The sequence below is a fragment of the Homo sapiens genome, chromosome Y (genome assembly GCF_000001405.40).
Source record: "Homo sapiens chromosome Y, GRCh38.p14 Primary Assembly".
Classification (NCBI taxonomy): domain Eukaryota; kingdom Metazoa; phylum Chordata; class Mammalia; order Primates; family Hominidae; genus Homo; species Homo sapiens.
In genome coordinates, this window is record NC_000024.10 from 11,355,116 (window position 1) to 11,373,640 (window position 18,525).

The window sequence follows — 18,525 nt, forward strand, 5'->3', positions numbered from 1 at the left end:
GAAGCATAGAATTTAAAAGGTAAAAGCATAATATTACTGTATTAAATTATGTGAATAAACAATATAAAATATATAGTGTGACATTGATAACAAAGTGAGAAGGAGGTGTAAAGAAGTAGAGTTTTTGTATGTGATTAAAGTTAAGTTGTTGTCAATTTAAAATAGATTATTATAATTATAAGATGTTTTTATGTAATTCTACAGTAACCACAAAGAAAAGACCTACATAAGATACACAAATAAAAATGAGAAAGGAACGAAAGCACGTCCCTACCAAAAAAAAGAAATCAGTGAAACAAAGGGAGGCAGAAAGAGAGGCAAAGAGGAAAATAATACCTTTAAGACATGTATAAAATAATGAACAAAATGACAATAGTAAGCCCCTCCCTATCAGTAACTAATTTAAATGCAAATAGGCTAATTTTCCAATCAAAAGACAGAGAATTTGCCGAATGGATTAAAAAATGTAAATATATACTATATGCAAGAGACTTATGTTAGATCTAAACATACACAAAGGTTGAAAGTGGAAGGATGGAAAAAGATATTCAATGCATTTGTTAACCAAAAGAGAATAAGGATGGCCATACTTAGACAAAATAGAGTTAAGTCAAATAATAGCACAAGAGACAAGGATATTACATAATAATAAAAGGGCCAATTGACCAAGAAGATATAACAATTATAAATGTATATGCAACTAACAGTACAGCATCTAAATATATGAAGCTAACATAGACAGAATTGAGGGGTAACATAGCTAACAACATCATAATAACAGAAAACTTCAATATTCCACTTTCAATTATGGATCCAATAACCAGACAGAAGATCAACTGGAAAACACAGAACTTGAACAACATTGTAGACCAATTGGACCTGTCTGACATATACAGAACACTTCACCCAATAATAGCAAAATATGCTTTCTTCTCAAGTACATACCAAGACTTTTCCTGGATAGACGGCATGCTAGTCCACAAACAAGTTTTTAAAAGTTTAAGAGAACTGAACTCATACCAAGTATCTTTTCTGACCACATTAAATGAAATTACAAATTCATAGCAGAAGGAAAAAGGAAAAGTAATAAATATGTGGAAATTACAAAAATATACTCTCTTAACCAATTGGCCTGTGTGGTTAATATTAATTGTCAATTTGATTGAGGGATGCTTAGATGCCTGATGAAGCACTGTGTGTGGTTATATCTGTGAGGGTGCTGCCACAGGGGAATGATGGATGAGTTAGTGGACTGAGAGAGAAAAACCCATCCTCACTGTGGGTAGGCATCATGCAATTGTTTGCAATTGTGACTAGAACAAAAAGGCAGAAGAAAGGGAACATTCAGCTTGCTTTGATTTCTTTTTTATGCACTGTCTCTCTCTTCCAGAGCAGTATGCCTTTTTCTCCTCTTGCACTTGCACATCAAACTCCAGGTTCTTTGGCCTTTGGACCCTGGGACTTGCATCAGCAGCCTTTTGGGAGCTCTCAGGCCTTGGGCCTCAGACTAGTGGCTTCACTGTCTGCTTCCCTTGTTTTGAGACTTTCAGATTTGGACTGAGCCATATCACTGGCTTCCTTGGGAGCCATGCTGTAGGCTTCTCTCATTTCCCACTTATAGATGGCCTATTGTGGGACTTTGTCTTTGTAATTATGTGAGCCAATTCTCCTTAATATATTATATTTCATATATATGTAAATATATTCTCTTATAGATGCATGTATATGTATCTATATCTATATCTATATATCTATATCTATATCTATGTCTATATTTCCTATTGGATCTGACCCTCTGGAGAACTCTGATTAATACATAGTCAAAGAATAAATCACAAGGAAAATTAGAAAATGTCTTGAGACAAATAAAAATGGAAACACAACATTCCAAAGCTTGTGGGATGCAGCAAAATGAATATGAAGAGGACAGTTTATATATCTAACTACCTACCTTAAAAAAGAAGAAAGATCTAAAATCAGCAACTTAGCTTTACACCTCAAGAAACTGGAAAAAGAAGAACTCAACCCAATGTTAGCAAAAAGAAGGAAATGATAAAGTCTAGAGCAGAAGGCCAGGTGCAGTGGCTCACAACAGTAATCCCAGCAATTTGGGAGGCCGAGGCAGGTGGATCACCTGAGGTGGGGAGTTCGAGACCAGCCTCAGCAACAAGGAGAAACCTGTCTCTAATAAAAAATACAAAATTAGTCGGGCAAGGTGATGCATGCCTGTAATCCCAGCTACTCTGGAGGCTGAGACAGGAGAGTCACTTGAACTGGGAGGCGGGGTTTGCAGCGAGCGGAGATCACAACATTGCACTACAGCCTGGGCAATAAGAGCAAAACTGCATTCCACCCCCCCCCAAAAAAAAGGCTAGAGAATAGAAAAAAACCAATGAAACTAGTAGTTGTTTCAAAGTTCAACAAAATTAACAAATCATTAGCTAGAATATTTAAGAAAAAAAATAAAGAAGACTCAACTTCTTTTAGGAACAAAAGAGAAGACACTGCAACAGATATTACAGAAATAAAAAGGATTCTAAGAGTCTACTATGAATGATTATATACTGACAAGTTGGATAACCTAAGAGAAATGAACAGATTCCTAGTAACATGCAAGTTACCAAGACTAAGTCACAAAATAAAAAATCTTAATAAACCTATAACTAGTAACTGAATCAGGAATCAAAAACCTCCCAGCAAACCAAATACCTGATACGGGGTTAATATCTAAAATATATACAGAATAACAACTCAATAACAAAACAACCTAAATGAGAAATGGTCAGTTGACTTTGCTATGGTCCAAATGTTCTCCCAATATTCATATGCTAGAGCCTAAGAGGTGGGGCATTTTGGAGATGATTAGTTCATGAAGTCATCGTCCTCAGAAATGGGACTAGGGCCTTTATAAAAGAGGCTTAAGGGAGTTTGTTTTCCCTTTTGAACATGTGAGGACACAGAGAAGGTGCTATGTATAGTGAATATAGTGACCTCACCAGTCACTGAGTCTGTTGTAGCCTAAATCTTGGACTTCTCACACTCCAGAATGCAAGAAATAAATTTCTGCTGTTTATAAATTACCAGCCTAAGGTATTTTGTTATAGCAGCAGGAATGGACTAAGATAGACTTGAATAGACATTTTTTCCAAAAAAAATACAAATGACCAACTAGCATATCAACCCAACACTACGTGGAAGCTGCCAAGGCTTGGGGATTGAACTCTGAAGCAACAGCCTGAGCTTTACATTGGCTCCTTTTAGCCATGGCTGGGACACAGGGCACCAAGTCCCAAAACTGCACAGAGCAGCAAAGTTCTGGGCCTGGCACAAAAAAACATTTTTTCCCTCCTAGGCCTCCAACTCTGTGATGGGAGAGGCTGTTGTGAAGAACTCTGACATGTCCTGGAGACAATTTCCCCATTATCTTGTCAATTAACATTTGGCTCCTTGTTACTTCTGCAAATTTCTGCAGTCAGCTTGAATTTCTCCCCAGAAAATGGGTTTTCTTTTCTATCACATCATCAGGCTGCAAATCTTCCAAACTTTCATGCTCTGCTCCCTTTTAAACATAAGTTCTAATTCCAAAACATATTTTTGTGAATGCATAAAACTGAACACTTTTAAGAGCACTCAGGTCATAAATTGAACACCTTGCTGCTTACAAATTTCTTCTACCAGATGTCCTGGATGGTTTCCAAGATTGCCAAATAAGAAAAGTTCCGGTCTGCAGCTCCCAGCATGATCGACAGAGAAGACGGGTGATTTCTGCACTTCCAACTGAGGTACCTGGTTCATCTCATTGGGACTGGTTGGACAGGGGGTGCAGGCCCACAGAGGTGAGGTGAAACAGGTTGGGGTGTCGCCTCACCCGGGAAACATAAGGGGTTGGGGGATTTCCCTTCCTAGCCAAGGGAAGCTGTGACAGACAACCTGGAAAAACAGGGCACTCCCACCCAAATACTGCACTTTTCCCAAGGTCTTAGCAACTAGCAGACAAGGTGATTCTCTCCTGTGCCTGCCTCAGTGGGTCCCACACCCATAGAGACTTGCTCACTGCTAGCACAACAGTCTGAAATCCATCTGCGAGGTGGCAGCCTGGCTGAGGGGGGGGGGGCGTCCAACATTGCTGAGGCTTAAGTAGGTAAACAAAGCGGCCAGGGAAGCTTGAACTGGGTGGATTCCACCGCAGTTCAACAAGGCCCATTGCCTCTAGACTCCATGTCTGTGGGTGGGGATAGCTGAACAAAAGGCAGCAACTTCTGCAGACTTAAACGTCCCTGTCTGACAGCTCTGAAGAGAGCAGTGGTTTTCCCAGCATGGTGTTTGAGTTCTGAGAATGGACAGACTGCCTCCTCAAGTAGGTCCCTGAACCCTGTGTAGCCTAACTGGGACACACCTCCCAGTAGGGGCTGACAGACACCTCATATAGGCGGCTGCCCCTCTTGGACGAAGCTTCCAGAGGAAGTATCAGGCAGCAATATTTGCTGTTCTGCAATATTTACTGTTCTGCAGCCTCCACTGATGATACCCAGGCAAACAGTGTCTGGAGTGGAACTCCAGCAAACTCCAACAGATCTGCAGCTGAGGGTCCTGACTGTTAGAAGGAAAACTAAAAAACAGAAAGGAATAGTGTCAACATTAACAGAAGATCATCTACACCAAAACCCCATCTGTAGGTCAACAATATCAAAGACCAAAGGTAGATAAAACCAGAAGGATGGGGATAAACCAGAGTAGAAAAGCTGAAAATTCTAAAATTCAGAGCACCTCTTCTCCTCCAAAGGATCATAGCTCCTTGTCAGCAATGGAACAAAGCTGGATGGAGAATGACTTTGACGAATTGACAGAAGTAGGCTTCAGAAGGTTGGTAATAACAAACTTCTCTGAGCCAAAGAGGATGTTGGAACCCATTGCAAGTAAGCTAAAAACCTTGAAAAAAGATTAGACGAATGGCTTACAAGAATAAACAGCGTAGAGAAGACCTTAAGTGACCCAATGGAGCTGAAAACCATGGCACGAGAATTTTGTGATGCATGCACAAGCTTCAATAGCCGATTCAATCAAGTGGAAGAAAGAGTATCAGTGATTGAAGATCAAATAAATGAAATAAAGTGAGAAGAGAAGGTTAGAGAAACAAGAGTAAAAAGAAATGAAGAAAGCCTCCAAGAAATATGGGACCATGTGAAAAGACCAAATCTATATTTGGTTGGTGCACCAGAAAGTGATGAGGAGAATGGAACCAAGTTGTAAAACACTCTTCAGGATATTATCCAGGAGAACTTCCCCAACCTAGCATGGCAGGCCAACATTCAACTTCAGGAGATACAGAGAACAACACAAAGATACTCTTTGAGAAGAGCGATTCCAAGACACATAATTGTCAGATTCACCAAGGTTGAAGTGCAGGAAAAAGTGTTAAGGGCAGCCAGAGAGAAAGGTCAGGTTAGCCACAAAGGGAAGCCCGTCAGACTAACAGCTGATCTCTTGGCAGAAACCCTACAATCCAGAAGAGAGTGGGGGTCAATATTCAACATTCTTAAAGAAAATAATTTTCAATCCAGAGTTTCATGTCCAGCCAAAATAAGCTTCATAAGTGAAGGAGAAAATAAAATTCTTTACTGATAAGCAAATGCTGAGAGATTTTTTCACCACCAGGCCTGCCTTACAAGAGCTCCTGAAGGAAGCCCTAAACATGGAAAGAAACACCTGGTACCAGCCAGTGCAAAAACATGCCAAGTTGTAAAGACCATCAATGCTAGGAAGAAACTGCATCAATTAACGGGCAAATAACCAGCGAATATCATAATGACAGGATCAAATTCACACATAACAATATTAACCTTAAATGTAAATGGGCTAAATGTCCCAATTAAAGGACACAGACTGGCAAATTGGAGAAAGAGTCAAGACCCATCAGTGTGCTGTATTCAGGAGGCCCATCTCATGCACAAATTCACACATAGGCTCAAAATAAAGGGATGGAGGAAGATCTACCAAGAAAATGGAAAACAAAAAAAGGCAGAGGTTGCAATCCTTGTCTCTGATAAAACAGACTTTAAACCAACAAAGATCAAGAGACAAAGAAGGCCATTACATAATGGTAAAGGGATCAATGCAACAAGAAGAGCTAACTATCTTAAATATATATGCAACCAGTACAAGAGCACCCAGATTCATAAAGCAAGTCCTTAGAGACCTACAAAGAGACTTAGACTCCCACACAATAATAATGGGAGACTTTAACACCCAACTGTCAATATTAGAAAGATCAACAAGACAGAAGGTTAACAAAGATATCCAGGACCTGAACTCAGCTCTGCAACAAACAGACCAAATAGACATCCACAGAACTCTCCACCCCAAATCAACAGAGTATACATTCTTCTCAGCACCACATCTGACTTATTCTAAATTTGACCACATAATTAGAAGTAAAGCACTCCTCACCAAATGTAAAAGAACAGAAATCACAACAGACTGTCTCTCAGAACACAGTGCAATCAAATTCAATTTAGGATTAAGAAGCTCACTCAAAACTGAACAACTACATGGAAACTGAACAATTTGCTCCTGAATGACTACTGGGTAAATAACAAGATGAAGGCAGAAATAAAGATGTTCTTTGAAACCAATGAGAACAAAGACACAATGTACCAGAATCTCTGGGACACATTTAAAGCAGTGTGTAGGGGGAAATTTATAGCACTAAGTGCTCAGAAGAGAAAGCAGGAAAGATCTAAAATTGACCCCCTAACATCACAATTAAAATAACTAGAGAAGCAAGAGCAAACACATTCAAAAGCTAGCAGAAGGCAAAAAATATCAGAGCAGAGCTGAAGGAGACAGAGACACAAAAAACCCTTCAAAAAAGCAATGAATCCAGGAGCTGGTTTTTTGAAAAGATCAACAAAATTGATAGACTGCTGGCAAGGATAATAAAGAAGAAAAGAGAGAGGAATCAAATAGATGCAATAAAAATGATAAAGGGGATATCACCACTGAGCCCAGGGAAATAAAAACTACCATCAGAGAATACGATAAACACCTCTACACAAATAAACTTGAACATCTAGAAGAAATGGATAAATTCTGGGACACATACACCCTTGCAAGACTAAACCAGGAAGAAGTTGAATCTCTGAATAGACCAATAACAGTCTCTGAAATTGAGGCAATAATTAATAGCCTACCAACAAAAAAAAGTCCAGGACCAGATGGATTCACAGCTGAACTCTACCAGAGGTACAAAGAGGAGCTGGTACCATTCTTTCTGAAACTTTTCCAATCAATAGAAAAAGACAGAATCCTCCCTAATTCATTTTATGAGGCCAACATCATCCTGATACCAACGCCTGACAGAGACACAACAAGAAAAAAGGAGAATTTTAGACCAAAATCCGTGATGAACATCGATGCAAATATCCTCAATAAGATAATAACAAACCGAATCCAGCAGCACATCAAAAAGCTTATCCACCATGATCAAGTTGGCATCCCTAGGATGCAAGACTGGTTCAACACACGCAAATCAATAAACGTAATCCATCATATAAACAGAATCAAAGACAAAAACCACATGATTATCTTAATAGATGTAGAAAAAGCCTTTGACAAAATTCAACAGCCCTTCATGCTAAGAACTCTCAATAAACTAGGTATTGATGGGACGTATCTCAAAATAATAAGAGCTATTTATGAGAAACCCACAGCCAATATCATACTGAATGGACAATAACTGGAAGCATTCCCTTTGAATCCTGGCACAAGACAAGGATTCCCTCTCTCGCCACTCCTATTCAACATAGTCTTGGAAGTTCTGGCCAGGGCGATCAGGCAAGAGAATGAAATAAAGGTTATTCAATTAGGAAAAGAGGAAGTCAAATTGTCCCTGTCTGCAGATGACATGATTGTATATTTACAAAAATCCATCATCTCAGCCCCAAATCTCCTTAAGCTGATAAGCAACTTCAGCAGAGTCTCAGGATACAAAATCAATGTGAAAAAATCACAGGTATTCTTATACACCAATAACAGACAAACAGAGAGCCAAATCATGAGTGAACTCCCATTCACAATTGCTTCAAAGACAATAAAATACCTAGGAATCCAATTTACAAGGGACGTGAAGGGCCTCTTCAAGGAGAACTACAAACCTCTGCTCAACAAAATGACAGAGGACACAAACAAATGGAAGAACATTCCATGCTCATGGATAGGAAGAATCAATATCGTGAAAATGGCCATACAGCCAAAGGTAATTTATAGATTCAATGACGTCCCCATCAAGCTACTAATGACTTTCTTCACAGAATTGGAAAAAACAACTTTAAAGTTCATATGGAACCAAAAAAGAACCTGCATTGCCAAGACAATCCTAAGCAAAAAGAACAAAGCTGGAGGCATCACACTACCTGACTTCAAACTACACTACAAGGCTACAGTAACCAAAACAGCATGGTACTGGTGCCAAAACAGAGATACAGACCAATGAAACAGAATAGAGCCCTCGGAAATAATACCACACATCTGCAGCCATCTGATCTTTGACAAACCTGACATAAACAAGAAATGGGGAAAGGATTCCCTATTTAATAAATGGTGCTGGGAAAACTGGCTAGCCATATGTGGAAAGCTGAAACTTGATCACTTCCTTACACCTTATATAAAAATTAATTCAAGATGGATTAAAGACTTAAATGTCAGACCTAAAACCATAAAAACCCTAGAAGAATACCTAGGCAATACCATTCAGGACATAGGCATGGGCAAGGAATTAATAACTAAAACACCAATAGCAATGGCAACAAAAGCCAAAATTGACAAATGAGATCTAATTAAATTCAAGAGCTTCTGCACAGCAAAAGAAACTACCATCAGAGTGAACAGACAACCTATAGAATGGGAGAAAATTTTTACAACCTACTCATCTGACAAAGGACTAATATCCAGAATCTACAATGAACTCAAACAAATTTACAAGAAAAAAACAAACAACCCCATCAAAAAGTGGGCACAGGGTATGAACAGACACTTCTCAAAAGAAGACATCTATGCAGCCAACAGACACATGAAAAAATGCTCATCATCACTGGCCATTAGAGAAATGCAAATCAAATCCGCAATGAGATACCATCTCACACCAGTTAGAATGGCAATCATTAAAAAGTCAGGAAACAACAGGTGCTGGAGAGGATATGGAGAAATAGGAAAGCTTTTACACTGTTGGTGGGAGTGTAAACTAGTTCAACCATTGTGAAAGACATTGTGGCGATTCCTCGAGGATCTAGAACTAGAATTACCATTTGACCCAGCAATCCCATTACTGGGTATATACCCAAAGGATTATAAATCATGCTACTATAAAGACACATGCACATGTATGTTTATTGCGGCACTATTAACAGCAAAGAATTGGAACCAACCCAAATGTCCATTAATGATGGACTGGATTAAGACATGTGACACATACACACCGTGGAATACTCTGAAGCCATAAAAAAGGATGAGTTCATGTCCTTTGCAGGGAGATAGATGAAGCTGGAAACCATCATTGTCAGCAAAACTATCACAAGGACAGAAAACCAAACACCGCATGGTCTCACTCATAGATGGGAATTGAACAATGAGATCACTTGGACACAGGGCTGGGAACATCAGGCACTGGGTCCTGTTGGGGGTTGGAGGGCTCGGGGAGGGAGAGCATTAGGAGAAATACCTAATGTAAATGATGAGTTGATGGGTGCAGCAAACCAACATGGCACATGTATACCTATGTATCAAACCTGCACGTTGTGCACATGTATCCTAGAACTTAAGTTATAACAACAACAACAACAAACGTTTCTTCTACCAGATGTCCTCAGTCATCTCTCTCAATTTCAAAGTTCCATAAATCTGTAGGGCAGGGGCAAAATGCCACCAGTCTCTTTGTTAAAGCATAGCAGGAGTGACCTTTACTTCAGTTCCCAACAAGTTGTTCATCTCCATCTCGGACCTCCTCAGCATGGACTTCACTGTCCAAGTCACTATCAGCAGTTTGGTCAAAGCCATTCAACAAGTCTCTAGGCAGTTCCAAACTTTCCCACATCTTCTGATCTTCTTCTGAGTCCTCCCAACTGTTCCAAACTCTGCACATTACACAGTTCCAAAGTCACTTCCACAACCTCAGGTATCTTATAATAATACTTCATTACCTCATTATCAAAATCGGTATTAGTCATGGTTCTCTAGAGGGATAGAACTAATAGGATATATATATATATATATATGAAAAGGAGTTTATTAAGGAGAATTGAATCACACCATCACAAAGTGAAGTCCTACAACAGGCCGTCTGCAAGTTGAGGAGCAAGGAATCTAGTATTGGCTCGAGTCCGAGTCCCAACACCTCAGAAGTAGGGAAACCGACAGGCCAGCTTTGAGTCTCTGGATGAAGGCCTGAGAGCCCCTGGAAAACAACTGGAGTAAGTCCAAGAGTCCAAAAGCCAAAGAACCTGGAATCTGATATTTGAGTGCAGGAAGCATCCAGCATGGGAGAAAGATGAGGGCCAGAAGGCTCAGCAAGTCAGCTTCTCCTAACCTTCTTCTGCCTGCTTTATTCTAGCCATGCTGGCAGCTGATTGTATGGTGCCCACCCACATTGAGGGTGGATCTGCCTTTCCCAGTCCACTAAATAAATGTTAATCTCCTTTGGCAACACCCTCACAGACACAACCGGGAAAAATACTTTGGATCCTTCAATCCAATCAAATTGACAATTACTTAATATTAACCTTCACAATGTAATATTCATCCCATTTGTAATTTTTCTTTAATATACAAGCTCCTTGAGAACATGCACCATTTGATCTTGTCTCTCTGTTGTGTTGGGAGGCAGTGGAGAAGAGAAGAGTTAAATGTGTGGGTGTGGAGTGAGACTGCCAGATTTGCATCTTGGCTCCCCTACTTATTGGATCTCTGTCCTTGAGAAAATTACTTAACATCTTTCTCAGTTTCCTTACCTGTAAATGAGTGGTGACATATATGGAACTTAGAACAAGAGCCAAGCAAGTATTCAATAAAAGCTGATGTTGTTGCCTACTGTTTATTCTCAGTGTTTGGCATAGTAGCCGGCAAAAGGAAGAGGATTTTTTTTTTCTTTTTCTCAGACAGTCTCCCTCTGTCACCCAGGCTGGAGTGCAGTGGTGTGATGTTGGCTCACTGCAACCTCTGCCTCTTGGGTTCAAGCGATTCTTCTGCCTCAGCCCCCTGAGTAGCTGTGATTACAGGCCTGTGCCACCACACACAGCTAACTTTTTGTATTTTTAGTAGAGATGGAGCTTTGCTATGTTGGCCAGGCTGGTCTTGAAGTCATGTCCTCAAGTGATTCCCCCAGCTTTGGTCTCCCAAAGTGTTGGGATTATAGGCGTGAGCCATTGGGCCCAGCCTGGAAATATTTTTTTGAAACATGACTGATAACAATATTTTTTGAAAGAATGACAGATACCAATCATGAAGGAAAAGATTTTCACAATTGACAATAAAAAGCTTTAACTTCTGAATGGTAAAAAGAGTGAGAAAATTAAGAGCGAAATTACAAATTGAAAAAACTAAAGTATATAAAACAAAGGTTTTCATTCTCAATTTAATGCAGAATCTTGACAAATCAAAAAGAATAAAAGGTGAACCCACCTAAAAGAAATAGGGAAAAAACTTTCAAGAAAAGCAATTTACAAAATGGCAATGACTAATAAACATGGATATTTAACATCACTAATATTCAAAGTACTTCATTTATAGAGATCCCTCCTTCACCTATCAAATTAGCAAAGATGAAAAAGGCTAGTAATACCAAGTTTTGAAGAGAGGTGAGAGGAAATGACAAGTTTATGTACCCTGGTAGGACATGATATTGTGGCAATATGTTTCAGAACACTCATAAATGTATATACCTTTTAGATCAACAATTACACATTTAAGCTTAAGAAAATATGAAGATTAGCTACAAATATTTCTCTATGTGTTCAATTAAGTATTAATTTTTAATTAAAAAAAAATTTTTGAGACAGAGTCTCGCTCTGTTGCCCAGGCTGTATAGCTCAATACAGCCTCCGCCTCCTGGGTTCCAGTGATTCTTCTGCTTCATCCTCCTGAGTAGCTGGGATTACAGATGCCCACCACCATGCCTGGCTATGTTTTGTATTTTTAGTGGAGACGGGGTTTCACCATGTTGGTTGGCCAGGCTGGTCTTGAACTCCTGACCTCAAGTGATCCACCCTTCTTGGCCTCCCAAAGTGCTGGGATTATAGGTGTGAGCCTCCATGCCCGGCCAATTTTTTAATTTAAAAAAATATTTTTATAGCAGCACAACGAGTTATTGTTTTAATAGTAAATATTGGAGTTTACTTTAATTTTGAACAGGATAATTAATCATGATGCAGCACATTGAATACTCTTTCATTAAGCTAAACAACTATTAAAAATGATATACAAATACATTTACTGAAAAGAAACATGTTTGTGATATACAGTTAAGTGTAAAACAATTCAGGTTATAAGAACATATTAGGCCGGTGCGATGGCTCACGCCTGTAATCCCAACACTTTGGGAAGCCGAGGCAGGTGGATCACGAGGTCAGGAGATCAAGACCATCCTGGCTAACACGGTGAAACCCTGACTCTACTAAAAATAATTAAAAAAAAATTAGCCGGGCGTGGTGGCGGGCGCCTGTAGTCCCAACTACTTAAGAGGTTGAGGCAGGAGAATGGCATGAACCCGGGAGGCAGAGCATGCAGTGAGCTGAGATTGTGCCACTGCACTCCAAGCTGGGTGACAGAGCAAGACTCCGCCTCAAAAAATAAAAAAATAAATAAAAGGACATGTTGGTAAATATTCACTGATTTTTATAAGAATATTTGACAGAGAGAGAGGGGTAAGGGAAGGGAAGGGGAGGAGAGGGGAAGGGAAGGGAAAGGAAGAAGGGAAGAAGGGAAGGGAAGGGAATATGGGTGGATTTATATCAAAAGGTTCAGAAGGAAATGATTCTTTTCTTCTGGATGTGACTATTGCAGATTTTATTTTTAACTTTTCCTCTTTTTCTTATTTATTTATATTTTCTTATTTTAAGAGAAACTATAAAACTATATATATTACTTTTCAACTTAAAAATAGTTTAGCGCTTCAATAATACAGAAGTCTCAAACATTGCAGATAATTAAAGCATTACTAAATGTGGAAACGTTTAGTTTCACAATTTCTGTAGTGATATTCAAGACCAGATATCACCTTGGGAATCAGAACTGGTGCAGGATCTTGTCCTAACACTACCAAAAAGGCACATGGCTGTCCCAGCTCTGTATGTTTATGTTGTCTTATAATAGAGCAACCAGTTGTTTATTAGGATGGCCAAAAAGGTGCATTTCAAATAAATGCCTATTAAAATATTAGTAGTACAAATAATACTGCTGCTTAATTTTTTCTAATGAGAACTGATAAAATTCAAAAGCAACATAAGCAGATAAATAGTAATAATATGGTTTATCAAATTAATTGTCACATGATTATTAAAGTGAGATCATGTGTGTTAAGTAGTGGTATCTTAAGCCACTGAAATATCTTCCTTGGTCTGGAATGAGCTTTCTATGGAGATTAAAAAGATGTTAAATTGAACAGTCTTGGTTAATAAATGAAGAAGCAAAGCCAGAAACCCTGTTTAAAGAACTAATAAAAAAGGTCACGAATGATCTGGCGGTTGTTATATTTTCTTGTTTACCCGAGTAGAAGACTATGCTCAAGCATGTATTGAATCCAGTGATAGCCAGAAGGTCATCCATACTGCTAGCAGCCATTAGTAAGGTTGGAATGTCTTCCTCAACACCATATCCATTTTCTTGCAACACCATCGTGTAAAGGACAACAACAGCAGGAGAGACAGCACCTAGAACAAAACTGAAAGAAAGAATGAAAATTAATTTAAAAGCAGCTTTTTAACCAAGTAGTGTTTTATAAGTACAAGTAGTTTATAATAAATTTATAACAAACATTGTTTAGAAGAATTTCAAATTTGAGTGAATGCAATTTAATGGTGATAAAACTTTTCATGTATTGTTTAGTGCTGGCTAAAATTTTATACAGACGTGGTTTCAAATGTTGGGCTGAGCACAGGTTACAGCCTCTCCCTCTATTCCTAAATCCTTTGAAGTGAAGATGTAAAGGTAATAGAAAAATCCATAACCTAACTAGAAAGCAAAAGGTGAATCATCAATGGACAAGAAACTAAGTATATGCCAGAAAGATAAGAGACAGACAATTTAGGATTGAAAAAAGGAAACCATAAACCAAAATGTATGTAAATAAGATTGCCTCAAAAGATACATGTGCTTCTACAAGTGGTCCAAGCCCTGAAATGACACATTCTGGGAGCAGGAGAGACCGCTGGGGAAACCAAATAGTTGATTATTTGGAGTGCCACTGTAAGAATGGTCAGACACATCTACCTTCCACACATTTCCTACCTCTTGAGTAAATAAGTAAGTAAGGAAGGAAGGAACAGAGTTGTCTGCCCAAAAAAACAAGTGTGGCCATCTAAGTTACAAAGGCAAATGAGAACATTTCTGGAGTGGTTGATGACACTCATGAGGAAGGGCGAGGTTCCTGCACAGAATACCTTCTATTGGCATATCTTATCCTGATTTTCACCTCATCTCTTCTACATTTACTTTATAAAGCGTAAAGTATATCCTGTGTAGAAATGCTTTTGGTGCTTCTGCCAGAATCCATTTACCAGGTCAATGAACACATCTCCCAGTGCTTCTTGTTGGCTGCTAATATCTGCAGGTTTCTAGAACCCTTGTCCTGCTGACAAGCACCTACCTGGGAATACGAGGGAGGTTGTGCACCCCTCTACTTTCCCTCCAGACAGCATCTGCCAATGACGGACTGATGTGAGATTTGCTTCTGGCTGTACAACTCTATGGCACAGTTTATGCTACAGATTTCCCTGTGGGCTGAAGAAGAGACTAGACTTATCTAAGACCACATACTGGTCTAGTTCAGTGGTTCCTCAACTCTGCTGTACATTGTAATCATCTGTTGTATTATTTTTCTCATTTTGCTTAACAAGTCATCCCCAAACATAGCAGCTTAAAACAACAAATATTTATTGTCTTATGACTTCTGTGGGTCAGGAATCTGGGCATGGCTTAGTTGTATGTCTTGACTTAAGATTTACCATGAGGTAGGGTGGGGTGGAGAAGATCTGCTTCCAAGTTTATTCATGTAACCATTGCAGGCTTCAGTTTTTTCCAATGGGGTTTTCTCCACAGGGCTGCCTCAGAACATGGCAGCTGGCTTCCCCAGGAATAAGTGATCAAAGAGAATTTAATCCACAACATCAATTAAAAACAAAGTATCTAAGAACAAAACTGTGAAGACAGTCTATAATTTTATAAAAAATTGTGAATATAATATAATAATTAAGATAATACCTGAATACTTAGAGAGACATTTCACAAGTGTGAACTAAAAAGCCCCAATTTTACCATTGCCCAACACCACGCCTGGCTAGTTTTTGTGTTTTTAGTAGATACGGTGTTTCACCATTTTTGCCAGGCTGGTCTTGAACTCCTGACCTCAAGTGATATGCCTGCCTTGGCCTCCCAAAGTGCTGGGATTATAGGTGTGAGCCACCACCCCCGGCCAAAGCCTCAATAATATATAGATGTAACCTCTCCCCCAAATGAATTAATCAGAGATACACCAATCAAAATCTTTGCTGGGATTTTTACTGAGCATGAAATGCTGATTATAAAATTCATTTGGAAGAATAAGATCTTAGAATGAAAGATCAAGTAAACTTAAGAAAACAAGATACTGTTTTTGTAAAGGTAAAATAGTTAAAACTGAATAATAATGACATATAAAAAGAAAAAATAAATTGGAAGAAAAGAGAATACAAAGTGTGGAAACAAATCTATGGGATTTGTTACATCATACAACTGGTACTTTAAATCAGTGGGAGAAAGAAAGAAATCTTTCAAAAATGGTGTTGAGATAACTATTTATGTGGAAAGGAATATAGATAGATCCTTACACAAAATAAATGTTAAAAGCTCAAAAGGAAAAGTAGTAATAAGAAAATGTAGTGGGCTAGGTGTGATGGCTCACACCTGTAATCCCAGCAATTTGGGAGGCTGAGGTGGACAGATCAGGAATCTGAGAACAGCCTGGCCAACATGGTGAAACCAATAGCTGGGTGCAGTGGTGCATGCCTGTAGTCCCAGATACTTGGGAGGTTGAGGCAGGAGAATCACTTGAACCTGGGAGGTGGAAGTTGCAGTGAGATGAGATCATGCCACTGCACTACAGCCTGGGTGACAGCAAGACTCTGAACAACAACAAAAAGATGTAGAATAATATATTTGTGATCATGAGGTAAAAAGGACCTTTTGACTGATACATACAAAGGCATTAGACATAAAAAGAGATTGTGATACGTTCAATTATATTAAAGGAGTACTTCAAAAGCAACTTCAAAAGTACTATAATAAAGTACTACTTCAAAAGCAATTCTGCTCTTTCTCCCCCTTTTTCTCTTTTTCATTTTCAAAGTCAAGTGAACGGTGTGGTATATTGGCAATTCTCTCTGTTGAAAATAACAAAACACACTTTTTAGAGTGAAAAAAAATCATCACAAACAAAATTAAATATCTACTGATATTTGCAATACATATAATTTACAAATGCCTATAACAGATATAACTAATAAAGAAGACCAACTCAACAAAAAAATGGACAAAGGATATGAACAGGCTAAGGAAAAGCTGAAGGACAACACGTATATAAAAGATATTCAAGCTTGTGAATAATCACAGAAATACAAATTAAAATAAAAATACGCCATTTTTTCAATTATCAGACTGGAAAACATTATAAAATTTAATAATATTAAGGATTTGCAAGGATTTTCAAGAACAACAGGTATGCTCCTAAGCTATTGTTATTAGGGCAAATTAAAGTGGCCATACCGAAAGTATTTTGGCAGTATACATCAAACTAAAAATGCATGTAACCCAGGTAACTATTCTAAACAAACTTGTATTTATGTAAAATGAGACAAATAAAATGCTATTTTTGTTATAACATTGTAAATAAAATCTGCTGTTGACATACAATGTAATCTTATACAATTAAAAGGAATAAACTACATGTGTATCCATCTTGAGATGGATAAACCTCAAGACTATTCTTGAGTGAAAAGAAAAAATTGTTAAGTAAAATTTTCTTGGGTATGATTAAGTAAAAATGCACAAAATAAAACTCTTTTTTTCTCTGGGTTCACAAATACATTTGTTAGAAGTCCAGAACATTATTTTTAAAGATCTAGAATGATAACATAAAACTCATAAAGATGCTGCCACTCTGTCTTCAGCGGCACATGAGTGCACCCCACAACACCATTGCCCTGGCTGGCACGTGCAAGTATGCAGAACACTCCCATTCCACTCCTGCCAGCACTGCACCCCTGCCAACACATGCATACCTGCTGTGTGCTGCTGCTCCTGGCACATATGTGTGAGTGAGGACCTTGCTACAATCACTACAATGAAGCACTTTGTCTGGCACACCCCATCAGAGTGTTGTTGCCAGTCGACTGGGAACACCTCAGTGCTTAACATTGAAGGGCCAGACAACAAATCTGTGGGTATGTTACCAGCGTTGCAAAATTAGAGCGTGCAGTTCAGGAGTGCTGGGCTGAGCCTTTGCCCCCTGAAATCTTCCAGAAATGAAGCCATTTGACTGAAACTACCTTGTGCCACAGTCAAATCCTCAAGGGCATTAAAGAATATAAAAAAGGAAAAAACTCCATCCAAAGGACAGTGATTCAAAACATTAAAGGAACCTTAGCCCACACAGATGTGAAAGAACCAGTGCAAGAACTCTGGCAATATAAAAAGCCAGAATGTCTTCCTGTCTTCAAGCAATCATACTAACTCTCCAACAATGGTTGTTAACCAGGATTAAATGACAGACATAGATTTCAGAATCTGGATAGAAACAAAGATCATTGAGATTCAGAAGAAAGTCAAAATCCAATGCAAATGATCTAAGAAATCCAATAAGACGACATAAGAGCTGAAAGATGAAATAGGCATTTTAAGAAAGAACCAAACTAAACTGATAGAGCTGAAAAATGCACCTCAAGAATTTCATAATACAATAACAAATACTAACATCAGAACGGACCAAGCTGAGGAAAGAATCTCAGATCTCAAAGACCACTTCTTTGAATCAACTCAGTCAGATGAAAATAAAGAACAAAAAAGAATGAACAAAACCTCTGAGAAATCTGAGATTATGTAAAGAGACCAAACATATGACTCAAGGCATCACTCAAAGAAAGGGAGAAAGAACAAGCAAGTTGGAAAACATATTTGAGGTTACTGCCCACAAAAATTTCCCAAATCTTGCTAGAGAAGTCACCATTTAAATCCAGGAAATGCAGAGAATCCTGTGAGATACTATACAAGATGACCATCCCCAAGACA

The 18,525-nt window shown here is 38.6% G+C and overlaps 1 pseudogene; it reads right to left on the reverse strand.

Moving 5' to 3' along the window:
* Window positions 1-18,525, reverse strand: part of SLC9B1P1 (solute carrier family 9 member B1 pseudogene 1) — a 45,306-nt pseudogene that overhangs the window by 14,726 nt on the left and 12,055 nt on the right.